The sequence below is a fragment of the Homo sapiens genome, chromosome 1 (assembly GCF_000001405.40).
Source record: "Homo sapiens chromosome 1, GRCh38.p14 Primary Assembly".
NCBI lineage: Eukaryota > Metazoa > Chordata > Mammalia > Primates > Hominidae > Homo > Homo sapiens.
In genome coordinates, this window is record NC_000001.11 from 248174220 (window position 1) to 248188504 (window position 14285).

The following is a 14285-nucleotide window of genomic DNA, read 5'->3' on the forward strand; positions in this document are numbered from 1 at the left end:
TATCTTGCTTTTATGATCGAGCAGAAGGAAGAGTGAAGACGACTGCCATTCTCTAGCTCTGCAACATCAGGCAATTTACTTAAGCTTCTGCACTTAGTTTCTTCATGTAAAAAAAATAAGAGATTATAAAATTAAAGATAATATATAATAATATCTACATGTGTCTAATAAGGGTATCTGACATACACAATGGTTGTAGGTGTTAGGTGAGTTTACAAATTTTTTTTAAACCACAGTGCCAGTTACACAGAAAGCACTGGTGTTTTTTTCCTCATCATGTGAGAGACAGCGAGAAGTTTCAGAAAGTTCACACTCATCTACAAGGAAGGAGGCATAATTATCTTATTATGTAGTATTTTCAAGAAAAGAAAAGTAGTATTTTCAAGAAAAGAGGCTAATTCTGCTTCATGTCCTAGGAGAGGAGATAGAAGGTAATACAAACTTTGATAATTAAAGACAAGGGAATGGATTCCCCACAGGTAAAAATTTAAGTTTCTATCTTTTTATTCATCTGTCAATAGCAATAAAGATTCCAACTGTGCTTTCTCTGATGATGGAAATATAAAAACATGTAAGATACTTATAGATTTTTGCCTTTCCAGGAACCTAAAATCACATTGAAAATACACACTATTCAGATCAGTACTAAGAGGTAAGTTAACTAAGCCCAAGCAAGACTGTGTGGAAGCTAGCATCAAAATTTCTGCCGAACATGGTGATGATTGATTTCATTTCTTAAGTCATTTTTTGTGCTATGAATTTTATAAACATTATTCTACTTTATCTGTACAATATTACTTTGAGAAATGTGGTATCGCTTTAGGCAGAAGGAGTGGTTACCTGCCCCCGCTTACCAATGTGAAAGATTGGATAAAATCCATTATTTTTGTTTTTTATATCCTGGAATCCCAGATGTGAGAAATAAATTGATAGTGAATAGGTGTCAGAAGAGAAAAGAGCAGATGAGAACAGGATATAACCAAATGATTTGAACATTTTTACCACATTCTCTTTTGTTTCAATAATTGTAGCTCATGCAGGATGAGAATCCCTAAACCAAAAATCTAATATCCAAAATACTCCAAAACCTGAATCTTTTGACTGCTGACATAAGATTGTGACACTTTTGCTTTCTAATGTTTCAATGTACACAAACTTTCTCCCATATACAAAATTATTTTAAAATACTGCATAAAATTACCTTCAGGCTATGTGTATATGGTATACAATGAATATAAATGAATGTTGTCTCCACACTTGGGTTCCATTCCCAGGATATATCATTATCTACATGCAGATATTCCAAAGTCTGAAAAAAGCCTGAAATCTGCAATACATCTGGTCCCAAGCATTTCGGATAAGGAATCCTCAACCAGTTTAATGATTGCTTTACATTTGTCATGTGCTCTTCTAAAGCATTTACACATATTATTTAAATATTTTATTAAACTTCAAGTGTATAAAAATGTTTACAACAAATATGTTACGTCTATATTTTGTAAAATGTTTTAAAATATTTACCAGTGCTTTTGAAAAACAATTTAACTCTCTCTGATCATGTGACCTTTCAGGTCCATTTTGTAGTAATCATTATACCAGTATTGCTGTGCTTTATATATAATTTTTACATGTATGTTTAGGTTTCTCATAATAGGACTCATGAGGGTGTTCCCTGTGATCTACTTTGTTCATTCAGCATTCTATTGGTGAGACTCACCAATGCTACTTCTTGTAGTTATGGTTATAAATTCCATTGTCAGTGCACATGCAGGTTGCCTTTTTATATTACAAGTAATGTTGCTATGCTCATTTTTGCAAATATGAGAGATGTGCTTTTTTGTTTCCTGATCATTTCTGTTACAAAAGGGTAAAGTCATTTTAGCAACCTCAGTGGATTACACAGCGGATTACACATGCTGTCTGACATTATTTCACATAATGCTTTACATTTTTTCATCAAATTTTGTTCACTCGATGTCTCTTTTCCATCATCTCACTCAGTGACTTCTCAATTTCCGACCATGATTTTCATGGTTTCTGTGTTACTATTGCTCTGGCATGTGCACAGCACCACACTGTCATGAAATCTGATGACTATTCTTCCAGACGTGATAAGGTTAATATATAAAAAGACATTTGAAAAATCTAAATGTATGCACCATCTTTTTACAAAATTATGGAGTTGATTACAAAAGAAACAGTGTGAATTCAATAAAATAAATAAAAATAGAAGCATAAAATTACAATTAAGGAAAAGAAATACTTGTCAGGCAATGTCTAATCCAAATTCAAAATGTTGTACGTCATTATGTGAATACTTTTGAGATGTCAATAGGTATTCTGAAAAAAAATAAAAAACAAGATGTCATAATTTCAGATCCATTTTGACAAAGCTGCTTTTTATATTCCTCCTACTACAGTGCTGAAACTCAGAATGTTCTTTGTTTGGCAATGAATAGTCCTATAAACTTGGAGTTGCAGAAATATTTCATCACAGATCCATTTTTATAGGAATATATACAGATACCTCTTGGAAACCCAATTTTACCTTCACTGCATTTTCAGATTGTTTATATCCTGGATAACTTACACTGAGCTTCAGGATTGGGTTTCACATTCCTAGTGCCTAAAGATAAGTACAATCTGTCACATGTATCTTAGAAGAAATATCTAATTTTCATGAGAAACAACATTATTTTTCTTTATAGGATTTTATTGAATAAATGTTCATACAGATCTTAACATAGAAGGTACAGGTGCTCAATATTTTCAATATTATCACTGTTTGTTATAAATTTGTGATATAGCTTGACACATTCTCTGTGACAGGACAAACTCAATGAAGACAATTGTCAATGAAGATAGTTTTAGTAACTGGATATGAAGGGAAATTTGAGGCAATGAAAGGAGGTGACAAAATACAAGACAAATAAGTGTGTGTTTGTATAAGTTCATCCTAAACTAATGTAACTGAGAAAATTCAGAGGGTTATGTAGATTTACATTTGTTATTCAATTTTGTTTTAATGCTTCATCATTCAGTAGAGTTTAAAACATATGTCGTAGAAATGTCTAAAAGGTAGAATAGAATTACTCAACATTTTACATCCATTTAGTGACTGGGAAGGAATGATTCTCAAATGTAAAGAACACTTTGCCAACTTAAAAAGATATATAGGTATAAGCTAACTAGACCAGATAGCTTCCTTCTTGGAGTAATACTGCAGACTGACCTAAGGAAAAATTATGGTGGAAATTTAAGATAATACAATTTTGTTTGGATTTATTGGTGTCTTACAACAGTTGACAAGATCAAGATAACTGGGAAAGCTATGGTACGATGGTCAAAATAGGTCATTCCATAAAGGAAGTTGATATGAATTATTTTCTTGAAGCAAATTCAGCTCATAAGCACTGGAAATTATTGAGGCAATACAAAGTTTTTTCCCCTGATTGACCTTAACAGACTACCTCCTTTGAGGACAACATAACAAGGGAAACTTAGGGTAGGAAACCCTGAACACAAGAGATCCCAGAGATGCCCATTACTGCTTATCAAGATGTTGACTTGACCTGGATCTGAGCTACCAAACAGGTTTATCCAACTTCTTGATAACCATTTTTTAAAAACCGGAATGGAAGTTGAGACCTGTTTCTCTCTTCATGCTGATTGACAAAAATGATTTGTTTTTCTTTTAGAGATTGCTATTCTATCTCATGAGTGTCACATAAGGAGGTTCCTTCTCTACCTTCCCAGCACTGAAGAGGCATTTTTTGGTAGGTTAGTATTTCCACATAACAGCTGTTCTTGAATGAAAATTTAAAACTGCTTTTGAGAGGTTTTTTCTTTCTTATTCACAATATTATTCACAATTTATATAAATAAATAAAACTCAAAGAGGTATACTTTACTACCCACCTATTTAAAAAATTGTATTTCACCCCATGAGGACAAATTCTAGATTCCATCTCCTCTGCAGATTTCTTCTAACTCTCTTGTTGCTCCTGGTTTATTCAGCTTTCATTGTTGTTTTTAGTCTCTTCATAAAAATGTGATGCATGAATAAATTAAAAAAGCACATTTCTGTCTAATGAACCTACTCACTAGGCATATCTTTCTGTTTATGACCTCATTTTTTTATTGCCCATAATAATCTCCCTTCACACATTGGCTTTGCTCATACATTTATAATTATCTCATACGATAAAAACTAAATGCCACAACATACAAGCAACATACCTTAAATTAGAAAACCATGTTTTTATTCCCACAATCTTCTATACATTTCTATTTTCTCTGTGTATGTTCTAATTATTGCATTTCATTTTGTGGAATGCATAGATGTACAACCCTTTCCTGTGATCTGGTCTCTTTCTCACCTCCTCAGAGTCTTTGTCAAATGCCACTAGATGTGTGAGATTTCCCTTGACTACTCTGTTCAAAGATGAACATGCTCACACAATTCTAACACCCATCTTTGACTTACTTTTCTCCAAAACATTTATCCTTTTATGATATAAAGTGGTTTATAGTCATCATCTGATCGCACTCACTATGACCTGTATGAACAGGGGCTTTCTTTGATCTAATTACTGTGGTAGCCACAGTGGTCAACATATAGCCAGACTTCACAAGTGTTGTTTGAAAGGGTGGATCTCATGCTTTTCTGAATTTCTGTTTTTGTATGTACTTATTTTCTAGAGGAGATATTGTGTGTATTAGTTTCCTAAGAATGCCAATACAGAGTATCTCAAACTGATTACCTTGAAACAACATAAATTTACCTCACAGTTCTGGATTTCAGAAATCTGAAATCAAGATGTCAGCAGTGTTGGTTATTTCTGAGGGCTCTAAGAGGACGAATCTGTCCCATTCCTCTCTCCCAGGTTCCTGTGATAACTAACAGTTGTTGGCATTTCTTGGTTTGTAGATGCATCACTCCAGTCGCTGCCTCCCCTATCACATGGTATTCCCAGTGTCTCGGTCTTCACATGGCCACTGTCTTATCAGAACGTGAGTCATATTGCATTAGAGAGACCCACTGTGCTCCAATATCACCTCACATTAACTAATTACCGTCTTTACGTATTTCCAAACAAGCTCACACGCTGAGTATCTTTTTGGGAAGAAATATAATTCAATCCATAACACTGGGCTAGAGAAAAAGGGCCTAGGTTTTAGATATGCATAATTGAAAATCTTTCCAGTGTATCCACTTACCATATACAACAAAGCTTACTATAAAGTGTAGATCAAATATTCTAAACTGTAAAGTAATAAGCAAACATACAGATTTTGTTAACACTGGTGTAAAACTGCCTATTATGAGAGCGAAGCATACATTTATTCTACATTTGTAGTATTGTGTTGGTCACATGTTGACTGAAGCTGAATTAGCCTATCAATTTATCTCTGAAATACTTCTCGTGTTTTAGGAACTATCTGTTTGCTTTGGAGACATATTCTTTTTGGAAAACTCCGTCAATCATTTATTAGATATTTTTATTCTAATTTTTCAATTGAAAAAGGATGCCCAGAATAAATCTTAGAACAAGCTCCATAATTTTATAAGTGATGCTGTATTGAAAGAACATATTTCGTTCAGATTCTATACTTCTTGACCTTTTAGTTTCCTACTTCTATTCATGCTGTATTGATCACCCAACTACAGAATTTACCAAAATCACACGATTTATAAGACACTGGGTAAATGTTTACCAAATTAATAAGATGGTTTTGTGGTACTAGGTAAAAAGCACATTCATCATGGCATGGGAGAATCAGACCTTCAACTCCGACTTCATCCTCCTTGGAATCTTCAATCACAGCCCACCACACACGTTCCTCTTCTTTCTGGTCCTGGGCATCTTTTTAGTGGCCTTCATGGGAAACTCTGTCATGGTTCTCCTCATCTACCTGGACACCCAGCTCCACACCCCCATGTACTTCCTCCTCAGCCAACTGTCCCTCATGGACCTCATGCTCATCTGCACCACCGTACCCAAGATGGCCTTCAACTACCTGTCTGGCAGCAAGTCCATTTCTATGGCTGGTTGTGTCACACAAATTTTCTTCTATATATCACTGTCTGGCTCTGAATGTTTTCTTTTGGCTGTTATGGCTTATGACCGCTATATTGCTATTTGCCACCCTCTAAGATATACCAATCTCATGAATCCTAAAATTTGTGGACTTATGGCTACCTTCTCCTGGATCCTGGGCTCTACAGATGGAATCATTGATGCTGTAGCCACATTTTCCTTCTCCTTTTGTGGGTCTCGGGAAATAGCCCACTTCTTCTGTGAATTCCCTTCCCTACTAATCCTCTCATGCAATGACACATCAATATTTGAAGAGGTTATTTTCATCTGCTGTATAGTAATGCTTGTTTTCCCTGTTGCAATCATCATTGCTTCCTATGCTCGAGTTATTCTGGCTGTCATTCACATGGGATCTGGAGAGGGTCGTTGCAAAGCTTTCACGACCTGTTCCTCTCACCTCATGGTGGTGGGAATGTACTATGGAGCAGCTTTGTTCATGTACATACGGCCCACATCTGATCACTCCCCAACGCAGGACAAGATGGTGTCTGTATTCTACACCATCCTCACTCCCATGCTGAATCCCCTCATCTACAGCCTCCGCAACAAGGAGGTGACTAGAGCATTCATGAAGATCTTAGGAAAGGGCAAGTCTGAGAGTGAGTTACCTCATAAACTTTATGTTTTGCTGTTTGCTAAATTCTTCTTTCTAATATCCATCTTTTTCTATGATGTCAAAATACTAGCATTGATTATGTACATTGCCTAACATATTTATGGGCACCTATACAATTTATTTCAGGTAAACCATTTTATATATTTATTTTTGTATATTCAATTCAGTTATGACTACAATATAAGTCATTTTCAATAAGGACACTAAAGTATTTCTTTAAATTACTTTTTAATTTCAATATCTTTTTGGGGAACAGGCGGTGTTTGGTTTCATTAATAAGTTCTTTAGTGGCGATTTCTGAGATTTTGGTGCACCCATCATCCAAGCAGTGTTCACTTTATCAAATGTGTGGTCTTTTATCCCTTGCCACCCCCCACCGTTTCCACCAAGTCCCCAAAGTTTATGGTCTCATTTTTATGCCTTGGTGTCTCATAGCTTAGCTTGCACATATGAGTGAAAACATGTGATGTTTGGTTTTCCATTCCTGAGTTATTTCACTTTGAATAATAGTCTCCAATTCCAACCAGGTTGCTGCAAATCCTATTAATTCATTCCTTTTTATGGCTGAGTTATATTCCGTGGTAATTTATATATATCTCACATTTTCTATATCCACTCCTTGATTGATGGGCATTTAGGCAGGTTCCACATTTTTGCAATTGCAAATTGTGCTCCTAAAAACCTGCAAGTATAAATATCTTTTTCATTTAATGACTTCTTTACTTCTGAGTATATACCTAGTAGTTGTATTACTGGATCAAATGGTAAATCTACTTTTAGTTCTTTAAGGAATCTTCACATTGTTGGCCATAGTGGTTGTACTGGTTTACATTCCCACCAAGAGTGTAAAAGTTTTCCCTTTTCACTGCATCCATGCCATCATCTATTATTGTTTGATTTTTTTATTATGGTCATTCTTGCAGGAGTGAGGTGGTATTGCACTGTGGTTTTGATTTGCATTTCCTTGATAATTAGTGATGTTGAGCATTTTTCCATATGCTTGTTGGCCATTTGTATATCTTCTTGTGAAAATTGTCTGTTTATGTCCCTTAGACCACTTTTTGATGGGATTGTTTGTTTTCTTCTTGCTGATTTGTTTGAGTTCTTTGTAGATTCTGGATATTATTCTTTTGTCAGCTGTATAGATTGTGAAGATTTTCTTCCACCCGATGGGTTGTCTGTTAACCCTGAGGATTATTTCTTTTGCTGTGCAGAAGCTTTTTAGCTTAATTAAGTCCTCTCTGTTTATCTTTGTTTTGTTTGTTTGTTTCTTTTTTGCATTTGCTATTGGGTTCTTGGTCATGAAGTCTTTGCCTAAGCCAATGTCTAGAAGGGTTTTTCTGATTTTATCTTCTAGAATCTTTATGGTTTCAGGTCTTAGATGTAAGTCTTTGATCCATCCTGAGTTGATTTTTTATAAGGTGAGAGATGAGGATCCAGTTTCATTCTCCTACATGTGGCTTGCCAATTATCCCAGCACCATCTGTTGAATAGGTTGTCCTTTCCCTACTTTATGTTTTTGTTTGCTTTGTTGAAGACCAGTTGGATGCAAATATTTTGGTTTATTTCTGGGTTCTCTCTTCTGTTCCATTGGTCTATGTGCCTATTTTTATACCAGTACCATGCCGTTTAGTGACTGTGGCTTTAGAATATAGTCTGAAATTGGGTCATGTGATGCCTTCAGATTTGCACTTTTTGCTTAGTCTTGCTTTGGCTATGTAGGCTTTTTTTTTGGTTCTATATGAATTTTAGAAATGTTTCTTCTAGTTCTCTGAACAATGATGGTGGCATTTTGATGGGAATCTCATGGAATTTGTAGATTGCTTTTGGCAGTATGGTCATTTTCCACTATTGATTCTACCCATCCATGAGCATGGGATGTGTTTCCATTTTTTGTGTTGACAATGATATTTTCCTCAGTTTTTTATAGTTTTCCTTGTAGAGGTCTTTTACCTCCTTGCATAAGTATATTCCTATGTTTTTGGTTTTGGCTTTTTGCAGCTATTGTAATAGGGATTGAATTCTTGATTTGATTCTCTGCTTGGTCGCTGTTAGTGTATAGCAAAGCCACTGATTTGTGTGCATTAATTTTGTGTCCTGAAACTTTGCTGAATTCATTTACCAGTTCTAGGAGCTTTTTGAATGAGTCTTAAGGGTTTTCTAAGTATATACTTATATCATCAGTAAACACTGAGTTTTACCTCCTCTTTACCAATTTGGATGCCCTTTACTTATTTATCTTGTCTTACTGCTCTAGCTAGGACTTCCAGTACTATCTTGAATAGGAGTGGTGACAGTGGATATCCTTGTCTTATTCCAGTTCTCAGGAGAAATGCTTTCAACTTTTGCCCATTCAGCTTAATGTTGGCTGTAGGTTTGTCATAGATGGTTTTGATTATATTATGATAATTCCCTTCTATGCCGATTTTGCTGATGATTTTAATCGTAAAGGGATGCTGGATTTTGTCAAATGCTTTTTGTGTCTATTGATATGATAATGTAATTTTTGTTTTTAATTCTGTTTATGTGGTTTATCACATTTATTGACATACATATGTTAAACCATTCCTGCATTCCCGGTATGAAACCCACTTGATCATCGTGGATTATCTTTATAATATGCCGTTGGATTCAGTTTGCTAGTATTTTGTTGAGGAGTTTTGCATGTATGTTCATCAGGAATAATGGTCTGCAGTTTTCTTTTCTTGTTGTTTCCTTCCCTGATTTTGGTATTATGGTGATAGTGGCTTCAGAGAATGATTTAGGGAAGATTCCCTCTTTATCTTTTGGAATAATGTTAGTAGGATTGGTACTAATTCTTCTTTGAATGTCTGAAAAAATTCAGCTGTGAATATCTCTGGTCTTGGACTTTATTTTGTTGGCCTTTTTCTTTTTTTATTTTTAAATTACCATTTCAGTCTCTCTGCTTGTTATTGGTCTGTTCATAGATTCTGTATCTTCCTTGTTTAATCTTGGAGGTTTATATATTTCCAGAAATGTATCCATCTCCTCTAGGTTTTTTAGTTTATGTGCAGAAAGGTGTTCACAGTAGCCTTGAATAATCTTTTGTGTTTCTGCGGTACCGATTGTAATACCGCCTGTTTCATTTCTAATTGAGCTTATTTGGATCCTCTCTCTTCTTTCTTCGTTAATCTTGATAATTGCCTATTAATGTTATTTGTCTTTTCAAAGAACCAGCTTTTTGTTTCACTTACCGTTACATTGATTTTGGTTTCAATTTCGTTTAGTTCTGCTCTGACGTTTCTTATTTCTTTTCTTCTTCTGGGTGTGGGTTTGGATTGTTTTTGTTTCTCCAGTTCAGTGAGGTATGACCTTAGATTGTCTATTTGAGCTCTTTCAGACTTTTTGATGTAGGCATTTACTGGTATGAACTTTCCTCTTAGCACTGCTTTTGCTGTGTCCCAGAGGTTTTGATAGGTTATGTTAACTATTATCATTCAGTTTAAATAATTTTTAAATTTCCAACCTCGTTTCAACGTTAAGCCAATGATCGTTCAGGAGCAGATTATTTAATTTCCATGTATTTGCATGGTTTTTAGAGTTCACTTGGAAGTTGATTTTCAATTTTGTTCCACTGCAGTCCAAGAGAGTACTTCATAAAATTTCAATTTTCTCAGTTTTACTGAGGCTTGTTTTGTGGCCTATCATATGGTCTATCTTAGAGAATATTTCATATGCTGATGAATAAAATGTACATTCTGCAGTTGTTGGGTAGAATATTCTGTAAATATCTAGGTCCTTTTGTTGTGGTGTATAGTTTGAGTTCATTGTTTCTTAGTCAACTTTCTATTTTGATGACATGTCTAGTGTTCTCTGTTGAGTATTAAAGTCCCCAAGTAATTCTGTGTTGTTGACTATCTGATTTCTTAGGTCTAGTAGTAATTGTTTTATTAATTTGGATTTCCACAGTTAGGTGCATATATATTTGTGATTTGGTATATTCCTCTTGCACTAATCTGTTTATCATTATATAATGTTCCTCTTTGCCTTTTGTAACTGCTGTTACCTGAAGGTTTTGCTTTTTATGATATAAGAATAGCTATTACTGCTTGCTTTTGGTGTCCATTTACATGGAATATCTTCTTCCACCCCTTTATCTTAAGTTTATGTGAGTCCTTATATGTTAATTGAGTCTCCTGAGGATGCAGAAACTTGTTTGTCAAATTCCTATCTATTCTGCCACTCTGTATCTTTTATATGGAACATTTAGGCCAATATATTAATGTTAGGATTGAGATATGAGGTACTATTCTATACATTGTGCTATTTGTTGCCTGAATACCTTTGTTTATTTTCATTCTGTTATTGTTATATAGGTCCTGTGATATTTATGCTTTAAGGAAGTTCTATTTTGGTGTATTCCAAGAATTTGTTTCAAGGTTTAGAACTCCTTTTAGCAGTTCTTGTAGTGCTGGCTTGGTAGTGGTGAATTCTCTCAGCTTCTCTTTGCCTAGAAAAGAGGATGCCTTTCCTTCATTTGTGAGGCTTCGTTTCACTGAATACAGAATTATTTGCTGATAATTGTTTTGTTTAAAGAGGCTGAAAACAGGACCCCAGTCCCTTCTAGCTTGTAGGGTTTCTGCTGAGAAATCTGCTGTTAATCTGGTAGGTTTTTCTTCATAGGTTACCTGATGCTTTTGTCTCACAGCTTTTACAATTTTTTCATTCATCTTGACTTCAGTTAACATGTTGGCTATGTGCAATGATCTTTTTGCAATGAATTTCCTGGGTGATGTTTGTGCTGCTTGCATTTGGATGTCTAGGGCTCTAGCAAGGCCAGGGAAGTCTTCTTCAATTATTCCCTTGAATATATTTTCCAAACTCTTAGATTTCTCTTCTTCCACAGGAACACCAATTATTCTTATGTTTGGATATTTAACATAGTCCCAAACTTCTTGGAGGCTTTGTTCATTACTTAAAATTATCTTTTCTTTGCCTTGGATGGATTGGGTTGACTTGAAAACCTTGTCTTCAATCTCTGCGTTCTTTCTTCTGAGTGTTCAATTCTATTTGTCAGACTTACCAGTGCATTTTGCATTTCTTTCAGTGTTTCCTTGATTTCCAGAAGTTATGACATTGTTTATGCTATCTATTTCACTGAAGAATTTTCCTTTCAGATTCATATTCTGTATTATGTTTTTTATTTCTTTAAGTTGGACTTCACCTTTATCTGTTTCCTCCTTGATTAGCTTAATAATCAAACTTCTGATTTTTTTCTGGCAATTCAGAGATTTTGTCTTGGTTTGGATCCATTTGTGGTGAGCTGCTGTGATCTTCTGGGGGTATTAATGAATCTTGTTTTGTCACGTTACCAGAATTGTTTTCCTGGTCCCTTCTCATTTTGGTAAACTATGTCTAAAAGAAGATCTGGGGTTTAAGGACTGCTGTTCAGATTTCTTTGACCCACTGGGTGCTCCCTTTACATGGTGTTCTCCCCCCTCCCCTAGGAATGGGGCTTCCTGACATCCAAACTGTAGTGGTTGTTTTTGCTGTTCTGTTTCTAGCCATGCCGTGGAGCCACCAAGCTCTGGGCTAGTATTTGGCAGTGTCTGCAAAGAGTCATGTGATGTGATCCGTCTTCGGGTTTTGCAGCCATGGATACCAGCACCTGCTCCAGCGGAGGTAGCGGGGGAGTGAAGTGGACACTGTAAAGGTCTTCAGTTGTGTTTTTGTTTATTGTGCTGGTTTTGTGTTGCTTGGCCTCCAGCCAGGAGGTGGTGCTTTCCAGAGTGCATCAGCAGTGGCCCTGTAGGGATGATGCAAACTTGCCCTAAGATCACCTGGTCAAGTATTCAGGTTTCTCAAGTGATGGGTGAGGCCATAGAGGTAACAAGAGATTATGACCTTTGTCTTCAGCTACCAAGGTGGGTAGAGAAAGACCACCTGGTCAGGGCAGGGATTGCTGTGTCTGAGCTCAGCCTTTTCTTGGGTGGGGCTTGCTGCTGCTGCTGCTGTGGGGGAAATGGGCGTGCAGTTTCCAGTCCAATGGAATTATGTTCCCAGGGAGATTATGGCTGCCTCTGCTGCAACACACAGGTCACCAGGGAAGTGAGAGAAAGCCAGCAATCACGGGCCTCACCCAGCTCCCACGCAGAAGGCAGTCCTAAAGGCCAGTCCTACTCCCGCCGTGCCCCCACAACAGCACCAAGTCTATTTCCAGGCAGCTGGTGACCAGGGCTGAGAATTTGCCCCAGACCATGAGCCTCTCTGTTGAGAAAGCAAATGGACTCACAGGTTTTCAGTGTCTCAGGGAGCCTGCAGTGGTGATCCAGTTCCTTCAAAGGATCTGTGGATTCTCTCAGCTTTCCTGGTATGTTCCTGCAGTAGTTCTTGGAGCAAAAATCCACATTGTGAGTTTCCACACACTACACTGTCCATCTGAGTGGGAGCTGCAAGCTAGTCCTGCTTCCTATCCACCATCTTAATTCTAGTCAGGACATTAAAGTTTGTTTTTATTCAGTATCATAAATTTTGTGGTATGCAGCCAGGTAGCCAGCAAGTCTTTTTTTTTCCTAAAGTATAAACTCAAAATTTTATTGAGCCTCTTGAAGCTCACTTTGGAATAAACGTTAATACATTGTAGGAGGGACCAAGATGACTCAGCAGAAACAGCTCTGGTGTGCAGCCCCCAGCAAGGCCAATGCAGAAGGTGAGTAATTTCTGCGTTTCCAACAGAGGTACCCAGTTCATCTCACTGGGACTGGCTAGGGAGTGGCTGTGACCCACAGAGAGTGAGCAGAAGCAGGATGGGACAATGCTTTGCCCGGGTGAGGCATAGACCCAGTTCACCTCCCTCTCTGAGCAGAAGCAGGATGGGACATTACTTTGCCCGGGTGAGGCATAGACCAGTGCACCTCCCTCTCTGAGCAGAAGCAGGATGGGACATTGCTTTGCCCGGGTGAGGCATAGACCAGTGCACCTCCCTCTCTGAGCAGAAGCAGGATGGGACATTGCTTTGCCCGGGTGAGGCATAGACCAGTGCACCTCCCTCTCTGAGCAGAAGCAGGATGGGACATTGCTTTGCCCGGGTGAGGCATAGACCAGTGCACCTCCCTCTCTGAGCGGAAGCAGGATGGGACATTGCTTTGCCCGGGTGAGGCATAGACCAGTGCACCTCCCTCTCTGAGCGGAAGCAGGATGGGACATTGCTTTGCCCGGGTGAGGCATAGACCCAGTGCACCTCCCTCTCTGAGCGGAAGCAGGATGGGACATTGCTTTGCCCGGGTGAGGCATAGACCAGTGCACCTCCCTCTCTGAGCAGAAGCAGGATGGGACATTGCTTTGCCCGGGTGAGGCATAGACCAGTGCACCTCCCTCTCTGAGCAGAAGCAGGATGGGACATTGCTTTGCCCGGGTGAGGCATAGACCAGTGCACCTGCCTCTCTGAGCAGAAGCAGGAGGGGACATTGCTTTGCCCGGGTGAGGCATAGACCAGTGCACCTCCCTCTCTGAGCAGAAGCAGGATGGGACATTGCTTTGCCCGGGTGAGGCATAGACCAGTGCACCTCCCTCTCTGAGCAGAAGCAGGATGGGACATTGCTTTGCCC

General features: G+C 37.7%; 1 protein-coding gene across 1 annotated transcript, besides 1 other annotated feature; it reads left to right on the forward strand.

Moving 5' to 3' along the window:
• Nucleotides 1-601: 601 nt before the first annotated feature.
• On the forward strand, nt 602-6848 carry OR2M2 (olfactory receptor family 2 subfamily M member 2). The gene is made up of 2 exons (NM_001004688.2): nt 602-652; nt 5749-6848. Exon 2 carries the CDS (start codon nt 5767-5769, stop codon nt 6808-6810), a length of 1044 nt encoding a protein of 347 aa, NP_001004688.1. The 5' UTR covers nt 602-652; nt 5749-5766; the 3' UTR covers nt 6811-6848.
• Nucleotides 12283-13482: an enhancer, noted in NCBI's record as "BRD4-independent group 4 enhancer chr1:248349804-248351003 (GRCh37/hg19 assembly coordinates)". NCBI's record gives its function as "activates an origin of replication core promoter dependent on BRD2, P300/CBP, MED14 and CDK7 cofactors, and independent of BRD4, by STARR-seq in HCT116 cells {active_cell/tissue: HCT116}" and the evidence as "EXISTENCE:reporter gene assay evidence [ECO:0000049][PMID:35650434]".

Bases quoted from the DNA above. Each gene is read 5' to 3' on its own strand.
- OR2M2 (NM_001004688.2), top strand. From the start codon at position 5,767: ATGGCATGGGAGAATCAGACCTTCAACTCCGACTTCATCCTCCTTGGA.